This window comes from Homo sapiens, chromosome 6 (genome assembly GCF_000001405.40).
Source record: "Homo sapiens chromosome 6, GRCh38.p14 Primary Assembly".
NCBI lineage: Eukaryota > Metazoa > Chordata > Mammalia > Primates > Hominidae > Homo > Homo sapiens.
The window spans coordinates 8,005,521-8,023,507 of record NC_000006.12 but is presented as its reverse complement, the minus strand read 5'-3'; the positions used below and the strand labels follow the sequence as shown (position 1 = coordinate 8,023,507).

The following is a 17,987-nucleotide window of genomic DNA, read 5'->3' as shown; positions in this document are numbered from 1 at the left end:
AGTGATTCTCCTGCCTCAGCCTCCTAAGTAGCTGGGATTACAGGCGCACGCCACCACACACGGCTAATTTTTGTGTTTTTAGTAGAAACGGGGTTTCACCATGTTGGTCAGGCTGGTCTTGAGTTCATTAATTCTTTTATGTCAAGACAATTTGTGGATTTCTGTAGGAAGTAAACTGATAAACGTCATTCATACAAATCATATTTCCCACAATTGATATCTAAAAGTACATTCAGAAGAACAATAAATGCACATTCCCTAGTTATTTGACATGTCTTCAAAACTACCACTAGTACAAAGTTGCATTTTGGGTATTAGCAATAGGAATAGTGAAATGAAAATATTATTGCCTTATAAAATTCACTGGCTCTTAAAAATATGCCACCGGTGGAGATGAGATGGTTAATAATATCTGTCAATAATTTAAATTTAGGTTCATGCACAGGTGGTGTCAACTTTTGAAGCCCTATTCAACCAGACTGGAAGTAATTATGAAGTAAATATGAATGCTTTTAATTCACCTTGTCCACAAATATTTATTAGATCCAGTTATCTGTCTTTATGATTACTTTCATGAGAGCAACAAGTTCACATGGCTTGTACATTGTTTTAAATAGAGTTTGAGGCCGGGCGCGGTGGCTCACGCCTGTAATCCCAGCACTTTGGGAGGCCGAGGCGGGCGGATCACGAGGTCAGGAGATCGAGACCATCCCGGCTAAAACGGTGAAACCCCGTCTCTACTAAAAATACAAAAAATTAGCCGGGCGTAGTGGCGGGCGCCTGTAGTCCCAGCTACTTGGGAGGCTGAGGCAGGAGAATGGCGTGAACCCGGGAGGCGGAGCTTGCAGTGAGCCGAGATCCCGCCACTGCACTCCAGCCTGGGCGACAGAGCGAGACTCCGTCTCAAAAAAAAAAGAAAAAAAAAAAAGAAAAAAAAAATAGAGTTTGAAAATAGAGTAACATATAGGTACATATTGTTCTATATAAAATCATTTTTGGCAGTTGTTATACTGACACTCCTTATCAAAGGAAATAGTTTTTCCTATGTCTCTGTAAGGCATATATAAAATTAATGGCATGCATATTACTGGCAGATGCTCTAAAAGACCTTTTACACCTTAGTTGGGTTTTTCAGAGTTTTCCCGTAGACCAGGTTTTCTCAACCTCAGCACTGTTGGCACTTTGGACCTGATAATTCCTTATTGTGGGTGCTGTCCTGTGCATTGCAGGATGTTTAGCAGCATCCTTGACCTCTGCCTACTAGATGCCAGTAGCACCTCCCCACAACCTGTGTTATAATAACCAACAATCTCCTGGGGAAGAGGGGTGTAAAATGCCCTCCCCTGCCCCCCATTGAAAATCACTGACTTAGACGAATCTCTGCAGAAGTGTGGTTTTATTTTGTAATCCAGACTTCTTTTATAGACCTGGTTCTAGATGCCGATCTTCAGGATTGGTTTCTATTTCAAATTATCTCTATTTCAAATTATCTTTAATTGGTGGAGAGCAGTGAGTGTGTGCCTGCATGCGTGCCGGTTTATTATTTCTTTCTCTGTTGTAACTTAATGTATACATTTTACTAAGTAGAAAGAGATAACACCATTATAGTTCATTACTTTTGGTATGTGGTTATAGGTTATTAATAAATTCTCTTCATTTTCTTTTAAAGTTGGTATTTTCTAAGTTTATCTTGAAGAGTGCAATTGATTTCATTTAAGAAGAGCCCACTGAAACTTGATTTAAATTTTTTTTATTGTGGCAAAATTCATATAATATAACATTTACCTTCATAACCATTTTAAAATGTACATTTCAGTGGCATTATCTATATTCACATTGTTGTTCAACCATCACCACCATCCATCCACGGAACTTTTTTTTTCTAAATTTATTTATTACTATTTTTTTGAGATGGAGTTTTGCTTTTGTCACCCAGGGTGGAGTGCAGTGGTGCGATCTCGGCTCACTGCAACCTCTGCCTCCCAGGTTCAAGGGATTCTCCCACCTCAGCCTACCGAGTAGCTGGGACAACAGGTGCCCGCCATCATGCCCAGCTAATTTTTGTATTTTCAGTAAAGACAGGGTTTCGCCATGTTGGCCAGGCTGGTCTCGAACTCCTGACCTCAGGTGATCCACCCACCTCAGCTTCCCAAAGTGCTGGAATTACAGGCGTGAGCCACCGCACCCGGCCCACAGAACTCGTTCATATTGCAAAACTGAAACTCTGTACCCAGTAAACGGTAACTCCTCATTCCCCTTTCTCTCCACCCCTGGAAACCACCATTCTACTTTCCAGCTCTATGAATTTGACTGCTCTAGGTTCATCGTGTAAGTAGACTCATATAACATTTGTCTCTTTTCTGACTGGCCTGTTTCTTTAGTGTAATGTCATCGAGATTCGTCCATGCCGTAGCATGTGTCAGAATTTTCTTCTTTTTTAAGGCTGAATAATATTCCATTGTATGTGTAGACTGTATTCTGTTTATCTGTTCATCTGTCTATGGACGTTTAGGTTCTCCCACCTTTGGCTATTATGCATAACATTGCTGTAAACATGGGTGTACAAATAGCTGTTCAGGTTCCTACTTTTAATTTTTTTGGATATATGCCCAACAGTAGAATTGCTGCTTTGTATGGTAATTCTATGTAAAAGCCAAGGTTTTCATCTTCTTTAAGCACAATGCTCTTATAACTTTAGCCACTTTTTTTGTTGTTTTTCTAATTTCTTTATTTTTAAAGGGCAGTTTCCAAGTCATTTTATTCAGAATTTTATGTTTCTTGAATCAATAAATACTATACAAAACAATGCCAGTGTAAAAATGGCTACCATTTTCTCTCCTCTGCTTCCCCTACATGGGTACAATCTGCTGGGCAGCCTCACTCAGAAGTTTTAGGGGCTCTCCCTCCAGATTTGTTCCAGCAAATGAAGTTGAGTGACATAGTCCCTTGAATGATTTCCAGAGAAACTCAGCTGGGGTGGGGAGAGCCTCTGGAATCTGGAGGTAACTAGCTTAGGGAAATGAATTAGTGTTTTGGGGGAGAAGAACTGGCCCCTAGGGCAAGAGCCTACCCCAAAGAAAAGGGTGTCTGACATGTTCACAGTTAACTTCTTTTGCCTTAGAAAGTGGTATTTGTTCAGAGAAAAAAGCGACAAGATGTCCATGCCATACCCCCACACCTGCTGCTCCTCTGCCCCTAGCTGGGGCCAGGTAGCAGAACAGCCTCTCAGACGAGGTCAGCAGTATTGAGGGGCATCTCCTTAATGGAGATGTTGTAGGTCTCCATGTCTCGAAGGGTCTTCTTGTCTTCTGTCACCATGACTTTGATTACTTTGGATGGAAATCTTTAAAAAGATATTCTATACTTTTATGTTATTTAAAAAATTTATTAAATGTTACAGAATAATTTTGTAGGAATCAGGCGTTACTGAGAATATCAGATTTTATATTATGGTGAATATGGTGATGTCATTAGGGAATGAGAAAGAGAGACACTGTGCTATGTTTCTGTACCAACTGCCCTCAGATACTGTGTGTTTTAAGTTTTTGTATCTGCCTCCTCTTTTGCTATAAGGCTGATGCCTGTTATTCTTCCCTTATTATCAGCCTTTTCATTTTCTAACTTGTGACTTTTTCATAGGGTGTCGTCTTAGAAACCAGTTAACTAAGCTGGTTAGAATTGTATGTAATGTAGGTCAAGTAGGCTCGGAATCAGAAGGGCTTTTCATGTGCAGTATTTGTAAATGGACTTTGTAGCATCTTCTTCGTTTGCATGACTTAAAGGTCTTAGCACATTCTCAACTAAGGTTCAGATAAATGTTATTTCCAGGTAGCTGGGTTTTATTTGTATGTAAAGACTGCAGTATTGTCAATACATGAATGTATAGGCGCCCCCCCCCCCTTTTTTCTTTACTGATTGTTGTAAAGAATGTAAGAATGGGCCGGGCGCCGGTGGCTCATGCCTGTAATCCCAGCACTTTGGGAGGCGGAGGTGGGCGGATCACCTGAGGTCAGGAGTTCAAGACCAGCCTGGCCAGTGTGGTGAAACCTTGTCTTTACTAAAAATACAAAAATTGTCCAGGTGTGGTGGTGGTTGCCTGTAATCCCAGCTACTTGAGAGGCTGAGGCATGAGAATTGCTTGAACCCGGGAGGCAGAGGTTGCAGTGAGCTAAGATTGTGCCATTGCACTCCAGCCTGGGCAACAGGAGGGAAACTCCATCTCAAAAAAAAAAAAAAAAGTAAGAATGCCTAGCAGTTACTATTACAAGTGGGAAACTAGGAAACGATAGCGTGGAGTGACTGTAAGAACTTCTTGATAAGGGAGCAAAACTAGATTTTTATTTGGATTTGGAAGTTGTCATCTTTTAGCTTATTTTCACTCGGCCTACAAGGCCAATAAGCGATATGCCTGATGTGAACAGGCTACTTGAATATGTTTGTCTTTATTCATAATATTCTGAAACTACACAATAGAAATACTGATCTTTGGCAGTATCTTATTCACTAATATATTGCAGCGTCTTAAAGACTGTTCTTGTAGCCAAATGGTTAATAATGGTTACATCCAGGATTAAATTGAATCTAGGAATGGAGGGGAAAGTCTCTTGCTCTTGAGTTGTCTCTATTGTTTGAATTATTACAATAATCTGTTGCTAAAAGTAAATTATTAAAATTAAAGAACAGAAACTGAAATGGCAAGGGGATAAAAGTGGAGTGATCTGCCTTCTAGATGCTTCGCTTGTGATTTGTATAATATTTACCTTTTATTAAGTTCCTCAGGCACTGAGCTAGGAACTTGACATGTTCTACCTGTAGTCTTTATAAATATTATTTATGGATGCGGAGTATTTATTTTCCTCATTTTAAAGTTAAAGAAACTTTAAGTTGCTCAGCATCATGCAACTAGTGACAGGTAGACCAGAATTTGAAGCGAGGTTGGTATGCCTGCCAAAGCTCCGTTTTTCTTTATTGGGCTGTACTGGATAAAATGCGTTCTGGTTGGGAAGGGGAACACGGGCTGTTGCCTGGTGATCCACATCACAAGGTCAGCTGAGCCAATGATGACTTTCCATTTACAAAGAAATGAACAAATTAAATAACATCTGAGTATGCATGTTTAACATTCTCTGTATTTATTAAAACACAACTAAAGCTAAATATCATTTTGATGAAGTTTATCTGCATTTTTTCTTTTTCTAGTCTGACTGTGGCTTTTCTCTTAGACTGTAACAGTTTTTGCAAAAGTTCCATCAGAAGATTTAATAAACTCTTCATGCATCTTTTGGAGAGTTCTAATCTATAAGGCTGAAAAGTTAAAAAGTAACGCATTGGATTTTGTTTAACCTGTTTAACCAATTTATTGGATGAGTAAACTCCTCCCTAATCCTCTCTCCCTACCACTGTAATATCTGTTCAGATCCCAAGTGTCCGTAGGACATATTTTAGAGCAAAGTTTGACTGACATTTTAGAAGAATGTTCGACCAAGAATTTTCAATTGGAAAGAAGTTGACGTGAGTCTGAAGTTGAACAGTCTTGGTGCTGGGGAGCTTCAGATCAGCCTAGCAAAAAGACTCTCAGAAGACCGTTTGTCTTGTGAAAGGGATTTTTAGCTACCTACGTAAAACTTCCTCTGGAAAGATCTGATTTGCACTCTGTGATAGAAAAGGCGTAGGTTTGGGTGTCAGAAAGACCTAAATTTGAATCTACAACCAAGCTATTAGGTGAGTGACCATGGAGGATAAAAGTGTCCTTAAGCCTTAATTTCTTTGTCTGTAAAATGAGAATAATGTCGTCTTAAAGGAGAGGCTTTTAGAAGTAGCTATGCAAAACAACTAGCAGAAGTTTGCATTTCATGGGTACTTAGAGCACATTGGCTTATTCAGCCCTTCATCCTGTTTGTCATCCTGACCCAAATGAGAGAGAAAATAGAACAGGAAGAACGTGATGAACAGCCTGAAGATGGTCTCTTTTTCCTAGTAGCTGTTTTTCTGGTGGCTGACATCTGAGTTAACCAGCATCTGAGTACGCTGCGTGTCCCTTTTTCATTCAAGTGCTGGAATTAACATGCCAAAATTAACAGTGACTTCGGGTGCTTTGTAGGTGTGTGTGTGTGTGTGTGTGTTTGTTTTTGAGACGGAGTCTCGCTCTGTTACCCAGGCTGGAGTTCAGTGGTGCAGTCTCGGCTCACTGCAACCTCCGCCTCTCAGGTTCAAGCAATTCGAACTTCTAGGTTTTTCTAGTTTGCATATCCCAGTTTTTGTTTGTTTAATAGAACCTAATCTGTATCAAAACTTAACTGCTAATGACATACATGTAGAATAGTTGAAATAGGGATATAAAGTTATTTTTTCATACTCTATTTAGATTTTTATTGTACGTATTCAAAGTTAATCATTGAAATTGTACTTTGGAAGGGGGGAGAAAACTAAATTCATACCTTTTTTATTTATACAGCATTTTATCTATATTACTGTGGTGCTAGAAAGAAAAAGAAAAAACCTTTCATCCTTATATAGCAATATTAAGGAACATCTCAAGAACTGAGACATTTGACACAGATGTTTGAGATGTTGATTTGCTTTAAGGACTAGAACTGACCCAGAGGAGATTTCTTTTTTTTTTTTTTTTTTTGAGATAGAGTATCACTGTCACCCAGGCTGGAGTGCAATGGCGTGCTCATCTCACTGCAACCTCTGTCTCCTGGGTTCAAGCAGTTCTTCCGCCTCAGTTTCCCGAGTAGCTGGGATCACAGGCCCTGGGATCACAGGTGCACGCCACCACACCGGCTAATTTTTATATTTTTAGTAGAGACGGGGTTCTGCCATGTTGGCCAGACTGGACTTGAACTCCTGACCTCAGGTGATCTGCCCGCCTCAGCTTCCCAAAATGCTGGGATTACAGGTGCGAGCCACTCTGCCCATCCCAGAAGAGATTTCTCGAGTTCTCTTCTAGTGACTAATAATTTATGATTCTTTCTAATGCACTTAAAAATATTTTATGTAAGACATTTTGATTTCTTACAGCAATGATTCTTTTAGCATATATTTTTTTAAAATTGGTTTTAAAATATCTGCAGTGAAATGGGATTTGAGGAGAAATAGAAATATGAAAAAATACTTGGATTGTGTTTGATTTTATCATGTGAAGATACTAGACGCTTTAAAAAAAATTTTTTTTTTTTTGAGACGGAGTCTCACTCTGTCACCCAGGCTAGAGTGCAGTGGTGCCATCTCAGCTCACTGCAACCTCTGCCTTCTGGGTTCAGGCGATTCTTCCACCTCAGCCTCCCGAGTAGCTGGAACTACAGCCATGTGCCACCACGCCCAGCTAATTTTTGTATTTTTAGTAGAGACGGAGTTTTGCCATGTTGGCCAGGCTGGTCTCAAACTCCTTACTTGAGGTGATCCACCGGCTTCGGCCTCCCAGAATGCTGGGATTACAGGCATTAGCCACTGTGCCCAGCCCACTTTTAAAATTTAAGAAATGAGAATATCCATGTTTAATTTTAATGAGAGAAGCCTTAGATGTTTCTAATGTGTCATCTTTTTTTGGATATTATAACACAACTTTTTCCTTGTGACTTACCAGCTGATTGTTACGGTAACCAAGTATCAAGAGATAACGTTATGAAATAATTGTCTGGAAAATGTCGTGTGACTTTCTAATTTTCTTTTCTCAGATTCATAGTGACCACTTAGTAGCTAGTGAGAAACAGCATATGCTCCAGTGGGACAACTTCATGAAGGAGCAACCCAACAAAAGGGCTGAAGTGGATGAAGAGCACAGAAAAGCCATGGAAAGGCTTAAAGAACAATATGCTGAGATGGAGAAGGACCTAGCGAAATTTTCAACCTTTTAAGAACTTGAACCACAACAATCACAAACTAATGAGAAGATGTTCACCTCTCTCCTGAAAACTATTCCCACCAGACCGTTTAGCCTCTGCTTCAAGCTTAGCAATATATTCAGTGGCACTCTTATATCAGAAGAAAGAAGTTTCTACTGGCATTCTGATTGGATATTTAAAGAAGGGTGCCACATTTTTCCAGCTTTAAGTGCCTATATATGATTATTTGAATGAAGAGGAGTAGGAAGGAAAATGGAATCAATATACTCTTTGTTAGTCAGAATTGATCATCTTTTCCATTGATTAGCTCAGAGAACTGTAGGTATAGACTTCTTAGAAAGATAATTTCATTCATTTCTATACAGGGTTAACAATAGTTTATTATTGTGGCTTAATGGGAAGGTATAGAAGCTACCTGTCATAGCCTCCTTGGCTGTTGGAAGGATGTATAAAGTGTTACTGCATGAGTAATGTAGACAAAAAAAAAAGCCAGCTGTCCTTGGAGCAGAGATCACATTTCAGAGAGGTGAGAGTGAACACATTGTCTCTGCTGTGGCAAAGATGGCCACGCTGGTGTTTGAGCTGCCTCTTGGGAAGCGTTGCATATTTTACAGTGCAGCATAATGCCATGGGCTTCCGTGGATGGGAAGACACATGTTAAGTTTTGTGGCCTTCCAGCACTTACTATTTTCAGCTTTTTAAAGCATGCTTAGAAGGAAAAGCTTACCAAAAATATATTTTGACATTTAGTTTTTCCAAGAGCTATAATCTTGCCCATAGTATTTACCTCATTTTTGTGTCTGTTTTGCTGTGGGTAAGCTTTATAAGATAAATAATGTCTATACATGTTTCGACTGTTTAATGAGTAATCAACAAAATCTGCCAGAGAGTCCCTCTGGAACCATATAAAGTTCCTGGCTTTGAATGAACCAGAAGTGTTTGCCCACACAGCAAATGGTCCATGTTAAATGTAAATCCTTTTTAGTGTTAATGTCTGTTCTCATAAGCAGGTATATTATGATGAAACATGTACCAGTTCTGTCATCACTGTGATCTTTAAAAACCTGCATTTAACAGTCTAATTTGAGGCTGGGTGCAGTGGCTCACACCTGTAATCTCAACACTTTGGGAGGCCGAGGCAGGCGGATCATTTGAAGTCAGGAGTTCAAGCCTAGCCTGGCCAACATGGTGAAACCCCGTCTCTACTAAAAATACAAAAATTAGCCCGGCATGTTGGTGCACGCTTGTAATCCCAGCTACTCAGGAGTCTGAGGCACGAGAATCACCTGAACTCAGGAGGCGGAGGTTGCGGTGAGCTGAGATGGCACCACTGCACTCCAGCTTGGGTGACAGAGTGAGACTCCATCTCAACAAAAAAAAAATCTAACTGAAGAACTAAGTTGATTTTTTATTTGCCATAAACCAAGCAAAAGTAAATGCAATAATTTCGAGATTTATGGTAAACAAATTTGAGGTATGGATAAATCTTTCACATATTTTTTATTGCTCTTTAGTAAAGAAAGGCACAAGAAAGAAAATATCCAGCTCTCTTGTGTTATCTCAGTGTGGCGACTGCAGAAAATTGACAATGCCTGCCTGTGTAAATGTATGGCTTACTGTCAAAGCTTCATTCTTGGCTGCATGTTGAAAATGTGATTAAAGTTAATAGAGGAGATGAAATAAGTATTTGAGATTTTTTTCAATAACACTGAACTTCTGCCAACTTTCTCTATCCGCTACTGTAGGCTTGACAGGCTCATCAATCATTTGCTGGTACCTGGACTAAAAAGCGCACTTGCTGACACCAAGGCATGTTGGAATTTTCTTAATTCAGTGGATGGAAAAAGAAATACTTCCAAAAATATCCCACACATGAAAAGGGAGGGGAGCCTTAAATGAAAATTCCCTTTGTACCGTAGACACTTTTTGGAATGCGATTAATTGCCAACACATCATTGAACGAATGCTGTAACCAAGAAATTAAGATTGTGTGTGTGAAGGGAATATATTCTTAACTGTGGCTACCCAACTTGTATAGCAAAGATTTCTGATAGTTTGTGTTCATCTCATGTGAATAATAAATACTTTACCCTATAAGTTTGTTTATTATTCCATAAATACCTAAGGGACTTCCTAAACCAAAATGAATTGATGGGCTTTTTGAGCTTTAGACATTAAGATACTCAATTGTTTCTTGTAACATTTTTAACTATTCAACATAGCTTCTATAAGAGTTGGTTTATTTACCTTCCTTTTGATATTCGACATAGCTTCTATAAGAGTTGGTTTATTTACCTTCCTTTTGATATTTTTAGTGGTGAACGCTTTTGCTTCTGTTTCCTAGTTGCCAAATCACTTTTTATATATATTTTATTTATATGTAAAAAACAATTTTAATAACTACATAATTTGTAACATTTCTTTCCTTTTTTTTTTTTTTTTTTGCGCGACAGAGTCTCACTGTGTCACCCAGGCTGGAGTGCAGTGGCGCGATCTCGGCTCACTGCAAACTTTGCCTCCTGGGTTCAAGCAATTCTTGTTCCTCAGCCTCCTGAGTAGCTGATATTACAGGCATGTACAACCATGCCCAGCTAATTTTTATATTTTTAGTAGAGAAGGGGTTTCACCATGTTGGCCAGGCTGGTCTCGAACTCTTGACCTCAAGTGATCTGCCCACTTCAGCCTCCCAAAGTGCTGGGATTACAGGCATGAGCCACTGTGCCTAGCCAGTTTGTAACATTTCTGCTGTGTTTGTGCTGTTGAGCAGAGATATTGTGGGTTCTATGTAGCTCATAGGATTATTGCAATGATCAAATGAAATAATGTTTTATAATTTTAAAGCACCATAGAAAGATTTGTTAAGTTCTATGTATTTTTAATTTTTAATTATGATTTCTTTCTCGACTAACATATGTATGAGGCTTTTTTTTCCCATTTCCTAGCGTGTATATTTTTAAATTCTGTGTTTATTGATTCCTGTTTTAATTGAATTTGAATTGTGGACAGAAAATAGGTACATGTTAAGACTGATCTGTTAATATTTGTTGAGATTTGCTTTATGACCTAGATTATAACCTGTTTTTGTAAATGTTTCATGATTGCTTGAAAAGTATGCTTGTTTTTTAGTTGTTGGATGTCCATTAGACCAAAGTTGTTAATTTTGTAGTTCAAATTTTTTCCATTTTACTATTCTTTTGTCTTCTACTTGATCTCTCAGACTCTGAGATGTGTTGAAATTTTCTATTCTAGTGAACTTACCAATTTCTCCCTGTAATTCTGTCAATTTTAGTTTTATATATTTTTATATATTTTGAAGTCTTGTTATAAATAAATAATTATAAATATATACATAAATATAAAAATACATAAACTATATATTATATTTATATGGATTATGCCAGCTAGCTGGATTTATAGGATATATCTTTTTTCATCCTTCTGTTAAACCTTGCTGTTATGTTTTAGATATGCCCTTTAAAAACTGTGTGACTGGGGCCGGGGACGGTGGCTCACGCCTGTAATCCCAGCACTTTGGGAGGGCGAGGCGGGCAGATCACGAGGTCAGGAGATTGAGACCATCCTGGCCAACATGGTGAAATCCCATCTCTACTAAAAATACAAAAATTAGCTGGGCGTGGTGGTGTGCACCTGTAGTCCCAGCTACTCAGGAGGCTGAGGCAGGAGAATTGCTTGAGCCCAGGAGGCAGAGGTTGCAGTGAGCCGAGATTGCGCCACTGCACTCCAGCCTTGGTTACAGAGCGAGACTCTGTCTTAAAAAAAAAAAAAACTGTGTGGCTGGATGTTTTTCTTTCTTTCTGATCATTTGTCAACTAAGGAGTTCAATCCATTTACATTTGTCAAAGTTACTGATATATTAAGATTTATTTGTATCATCTTATTTTGTGCTTTTTGTCCCACCTTTTCTGTTTCTTGACTTCTTTCAGCTTGAGTTTGTTTTGTTTCATTTTTCCATCTACTTTTCTTCTGCTGCTTTCAAAGTTAAACATTTCCCAGTTTCCAAATCAGTTTTGATATGTATTTTATTTATATGTAAAAATTAACTTTTAATGAAGTGCTTAGTAGGAAATTTAACTTGCGTAGTTAACAGAATCTAAAATTAACATCTTTACTCTCTTCCTATTCTTTAGAGATTTTTGTACAAAGTCTGATTTATCTCTTCAACTTACAAATTGTTGTCTAGAATTCTAGTTCTATCTCGATTTTACTACAAAAGTAGTTATTTTGTATAGTCAGTGTTTATGTAGATTTACCTAGAAGTTTGCTATTTTATTATCCTTGAAAGTTAGCTAGGTATACGATTATAGGTTGACAGCTGTTTTCTCAAATAATATTCTACTGTCTTCTTGCTTCCATTGCTGCTTCTGAAATGACAGTTGTCAGTCTGATCAGTATTTGTAGCTAATCTGCCTTCTTTCTCAGGTCATATTTAAGATCTTTATCTTTGGTGTTCTACAGTCAAATGTGGCCATGCTACAGTATGTTTAGCTGTATATTTCTTTTCATTGTCCTGTTGGGATTGATTGAGATTCCTGAATCTGAGAATTGGTACTTTTCATAAATTCTGAAAAATTCCCAGCTACTGTCTCTTTGAATATTGTATCTCCCTCATTCTCTCTATTCTCTCCTTTAGGAAATAAAATTAAGACTTCTGTTTTATGATCTCACTGTCCTCTCCATATCTCTTAATCCCTGTTTTATATTTCCCATCTCTCTGTCTCTAGGTGTTGAATTCTGGATAATTTCTTTAAATCTATTTCATTAATACTGTCTTCACTCTATCTCTAACCTATTTTACCCATCTGTTGTTAATTATAGTTATTATTTTTTTTATTTTCAAAAGAGTTGTTTGGTTCTTTCTTAAACTTTCCTGGGTTGTCTGGGATGGTTCCATTATTCCTTCTTTTTCTTTTCTTTAAACATATTAAAAGTACTTATTTTACATTCTGTACGTGGTAATTTCAGTATTTTTTGTGGATCCAGATTTATAGTTTGTTGCTTGTTTTTGCTGAAACAAGTTTATGGTGACGAGTTTCCTAATGTGATCAGTCATTTTTTATTTTAAGTTTGCATTCCTCTGAACTTTCTTTTGGGAGATTTTTTTTTTTAATTTCAAATATAGTCCTACAGAGAAGATTTTTTTTCCCTGCAGCACCAATTTGTTTATTGTGACACTACAAACCACAGACCACTTCAAAATCAGTTTTCATCTTGGATTCCCTGTCTCTCCCTTTTCTACTCCTTAAGCTTTTGCACCCACACACACATGTGTGTATGTATACGCACTCACAAAATGTGGATTTCAGCCCTAAACACCTGTGACTGTTGGCTTCGTTGAGGCATTCCCAGAGGAGACGTTTTTCTTCCTTTATATCTCTTCTTGAATAATGAAGAAGGGTAAATTTAGGTGTTTTCCTAGTTCACTCCTGAGGACAGTGTCCTCTGAGGCTTTACAAGTCCTCCTGCTCATCCAGCTCAGTCCCTGTTATGGACTGAATTTTGTCTCCCCTGAATTCATCAAGTAAAGCTGTAACCACATTGTGACGGTATTTGGAGACAGGGCCTTTAAAGAGGTAATTAAGGTTAAATGAGGTCATAGGGCGGAGAAGAGAGACCCCAGAGCTCTTCCTGCACATAGAGGAAAAGTCCTGAGATCACAGCAGGAAGGCAGCCATCTGCAAGCCAGGAAGAGGCGCCTCATAGGAACCACATTTTTCAGGACCTTGGCCTTAGACTTCTTGCCAGCACATCTTTAAGAAAATTAATTTTTATTTAAGCCACCAAGCTTGTGGTATTTTGTTATGGCAGGTGGAGAAGACTGAGAAAGTCCCTCACTTTGATTCCTGTCCCTCACGCAGGTATGGCTCCTAACAACTGGGGCCTTCCTAGGCTGCAGGGATGGGGATGCCTTTAGGGCAGTTATCCAGAGCTGAATTACCCTATAGAATGTCCCAGTCTCCTGAGCTGCCTTCAGTTGTTTTCACTAATTTGCCATAAATTCAGTCAAGAATAATAAATAAAGTTTAAATTTTTTTCTAGCATTTCTGGTGTTCAGTGGCCAGACAGATTTCTCTGTACAGAAATGGCATGTTATACAAGTACATGGTGATTTTATCATATTCTCCAAAAAAGAACACGCCCATATTCTAGTGTAAACGATACCTTTTTACTTTTTCAATATTACACTAAATCTTTTATATTAGATTATTTCCTGTTATCCATGAACTAATATGATTGTCTCTATTGCTTCTATTGGATTGATCTTTTACTGTTTATGAGCTAATGAAGGCAAATAAGAGTTCAGTAGTGTTCTAAACCTGCGTAACTCTTACCTGAATACCTGATTTTGGAATTTTTAATCTTTAGGACATTATTGTGCTTTGTGAAAATGTCTCAGGCTACTATTATGGGCATGAAAATAGAGGGGGCTTGATCTGTGCTATTAAACCCAAAGTGCCATGAAAATCTGGAGGAGTCACAGATGCCTCCAAGATACATAGTGAATTCTCTTCTTTGCTTTTATAATACATAAACTTTGTATCTGAACATTTCCATGTACTGTTTGAACAGTTTCCTACTGTGCATGGGTTTTCTGGTTGCCATTGCAAATGAAAAGGTAGCGGGTTTTATTGCTTTGGAATTTAGCATAATGTCTGCCTTTCCTGAAATTGTACCCGGGAGGCTTTTTATTTTTATTTATTTATTTATTTATTTTTTGCCATTTGGGGCTGTAAGTCTCTCAGGATGAAAAATACCAGAAAAATATTTTAAACATTAATTCAGTCAAAATATTTGAAGCTCCCATTACAGACGATATATTTTCTAGTAGTTTGTTCTTAGACTTTCAGAAAGGTTTTGTAATTATTTCATAATTTTCAACCCCAATAAAATGTTAATATTTTATTGACTTGGTGCAAATCAAGGTCATAGAATGAATGGAGAATGGAAATCAGTCATAGCGTATCACCTACTGCCTGCTCTTCCTCATTCTGCTCTTTCTTTTTTCTTTTTTTTTTTTTGAGACGGAGTTTCGCTCTTGTTGCCCAGGCTGGAGTGCAATGGCGCAACCTTGGCTCACTGCAACCTGCGCCTCCTGGATTCAAGCGATTCTCCTGCCTCAGCCTCCCAGGTAGCTGGGATTACAAGTGCCTGCCTCCACACCCAGCTAATTTTTGTATTTTTAGGAGAGATGAGGTTTTACCATGTTAAAGTTATTATACATTTTTATTTTCAGAAGAGTCGTTTGGTTCTTTCTTAAACGCCAGGCTGGTCTCAAACACCTGACCTCAGGTGATCCACCCACCTCGGCCTCCCAAAGTGCTGGGATTATAGGCATAAACCACCGTGCCCAGCCCTCTGTTCATTTTTGAATCTTAACTGCTACAAATAATGCTTTCTTGTGACTGGTCTGGCAATGATAGCAAAACAGCATTTCCTCTGGTATTTTCCTATTTATGTTCCATAAGCAAGAGAAAACAAACTTGGATTTTCAGATGTGATACACTTCAAAGAGCAGTAAGTTAGTAAGTACGCTAACATTTGATCCTCACAAAAACTCAAGCTTCAAATTATCTCTGAAGAAATAGTCCAAATTAATTTAAGGTAAGTAAATACAGTACTCATATTTGTATAACATAACTTAGAGCCTACTTTTTAAGTGCCTTATATGTAGTTTAATCTTATTTCATCATTATAACCAAGAAATACCCATTATATTCTTTTAGAGGAAGAGCAAAACAGCACAGAAATACAAGGAATATAGTGTTTTGCCCACCCAATGTTGAGCTAGCAACAACACATCAGATAGACTAAATAATACTTTCATGGTTTTTAAAAAAATCCATAAGTGATACCATGAAAATCCATAGTACAGATGGATCCAAAAATTTTTCTTTATCATTACATCGCTTTCTAAAATGATAGTCTGATGTACTACAAACATTAATAAGTCAATATGTGAAATTCTGCTCTAAAATATTCTGAATCATTAAAGGTATTTACTATTATTTCATCATTCGCTGTGTGGTCAGGCTTTGCCATAGGTTAAAATATAACATGAGATGATAGATATGTTAATTAGCCTGATTGGATCATTCCACAATGTATGCATATATCAACCCATCACATTGTACCTAATAAATATATACAATTATTTATCAATTTAAAAAAGGAGCCAAGCACAGTGGCTCACACCTGTAATCCCAGCACTTTGGGAGGCTGGGGCAGGAGGATCACTTGAGGCCAGGAATTCAAGACCAGCCTGGGCAACATGGTGAGACTTTGTCTCTAAAAAAAAAATAGGAAAAAAGAAAAAGAATATAACATGAATGTAGGTAAGATTAAGATAGAAAGTGCCACCCTGGGAAGAGGCCAGTAAAGTGCCACCCTGGGAAGAGGCCAGTGCATGATTCAAGGACATTTAGAACAGACAACACCAAGCTCAAGTGGTGCAGCATTTACTGATAGCAAGAGAGGAGAGAGTGTGTACACAAGATCCAGCCGTTTGCGTCAGTGCCCTGTGGCCAGCAGGTCCACTCTGCAGACCATGTGGTCAGTACTGTATTTTTTTAAAACTTGAAATGAATGAGGATATGTGCATTCCATCATTCCTTGGAGCAATTGTTTTCCCCTTTTAACTTTAAAAAAGAAAAGTTTGGTTGAGACCTGGCAGGCATTGAAAGTTAGCCTCCATTGCAAGTATTATCACCATTTATGAGTGTGAGGTTTTACCATAATAGAAGTCAGTGTACGAGGTTATCTGTGTTGTGCTTAAAATTTTCTCTACATAGACCTGATTTTTGACTTTTGTGAAATTGTTTATATTGCTAACATTTATCATTCAGAGAAAATATTCTGTAAATGTTGATTTAATGTAATAGTTTCCCTTAAAATAGAATTTATAGAGAATTTGAAAAGAAAACCACAAGTTAATTCACTTTTTAAAAAACTTCATGTCATCTGAATACTTAAGCTGCTTTGTTTGGAAAGTGTCTTTTTAAAGAAAATAGTTAATAAAATTACAGTAAGATAATTGTCACAAAATAAAAATCTTAGGTGGCCAGTTGTGTATTACAGAGATTTGGTTTTAACAATTATACAAGTTATTTAAGTGGGAAACATTAATATTAAATTTTATTAAGAAAAATTTTGACACCAAAAAATCTGTCCTTCACTTAGAATATAAAATGTATAGCTGAACACCAGCAGGTGTCACTGTGATAACATGTTTTCCCCCCCTGAACAGTTTTATGTGGATGGGTGCATACCATCTATGGACAAAGATATTTAGGAGATAATAAATGTAAGTTATATAGCTGAATAAAAATACCAAAATGTAGGAAAAGCCTATGAGTTCCATGATGGTTAGGAATGCTGTATTTTTTTTTTTTTAGGATTGCTGTATTTTTAGGAGAATTGTATTTTTTTCTCGCTTTCTTCATGTCATAAACATACAGTCTTCCATTATGTAAGTGATGTGCTGTTTTATTAGCAATAAAAGTAGAGTAAAAATCCCTTTATATTTGGGCTATGTTGAAGTATAGAATGGTACAAAAATCATTAAGTTACACCTTGTATAACCAAAGCCAAATTAAGAAACAGAACATTCCTAATAATGTTTTTATATGGGTTTTGAAAAACTTGGCCAGGCGCTGTGGCTCACGCGTGTAGTCCCAGCGGTTTGGGAGGCCGAGGCAGGTGGATCACTTGAGGTCAGGAGTTCCAACCTGGCCAATGTGGCGAAACCCTGTCTCTACTAAAAATACCAAAAAAGAGTTAGTTGGGCATGGTGGCGCGCACCTGTAGTCCCAACTACTCAAGAGGCTGAGGCAGGAGAATCGCTTGAACCCAGGAGGTGGGAGGTTGCAGTGAACCGAGATCGTGCCATTACACTCCAGGCTGGGTGACAGAGCGAGACTCCACCTCCAAAAAAAAAAAAAAAAAAGGAAGAAAAGAAAAGAAAAAAACTCTTGGTTCATTCCTCCAAATTAAGGCAGTTATAATTTTTAAGTTAATGTTTAAAGGCACAAAAATATAGCAATTGGTCGAAAATAGAAATTTAAGAGCTAGTTGTCAGTATTTTTTTCCCCACCTAGCATGGAAGCCAGAGTAGGATTTAATAAA

At 37.8% G+C, this 17,987-nt stretch overlaps 1 protein-coding gene and 2 long non-coding RNA genes across 5 annotated transcripts in view, besides 1 other annotated feature; all 3 read left to right on the top strand.

Annotated features, from left to right (window-relative positions):
• EEF1E1-BLOC1S5 (EEF1E1-BLOC1S5 readthrough (NMD candidate)) overlaps positions 1-9,941 on the top strand; it is an 89,029-nt gene extending 79,088 nt beyond the window's left edge. The window contains exon 7 of the long non-coding RNA NR_037618.1: positions 7,680-9,941. This is a non-coding gene — a long non-coding RNA (EEF1E1-BLOC1S5 readthrough (NMD candidate)). The remainder of the gene's footprint in view (positions 1-7,679) is intronic.
• Positions 1-9,941, top strand: part of BLOC1S5 (biogenesis of lysosomal organelles complex 1 subunit 5) — a 50,848-nt gene extending 40,907 nt beyond the window's left edge. For all 3 annotated transcript variants that reach the window (NM_001199323.1, NM_001199322.1, NM_201280.3), the window contains one exon: positions 7,680-9,941. In NM_001199323.1, the coding sequence (NP_001186252.1) occupies positions 7,680-7,698 (19 nt within the window). In that variant the 3' untranslated portion in view covers positions 7,699-9,941. The remainder of the gene's footprint in view (positions 1-7,679) is intronic.
• BLOC1S5-TXNDC5 (BLOC1S5-TXNDC5 readthrough (NMD candidate)) overlaps positions 1-17,987 on the top strand; it is a 183,165-nt gene that overhangs the window by 40,907 nt on the left and 124,271 nt on the right. The window lies entirely within an intron of this gene.
• Positions 11,249-11,457: a silencer, noted in NCBI's record as "fragment chr6:8012284-8012492 (GRCh37/hg19 assembly coordinates)". NCBI's record gives its function as "represses an EF-1alpha promoter that drives an FKBP-Casp9 reporter gene in an ReSE screen in K562 erythroleukemia cells {active_cell/tissue: K562}" and the evidence as "EXISTENCE:reporter gene assay evidence [ECO:0000049][PMID:32094911]".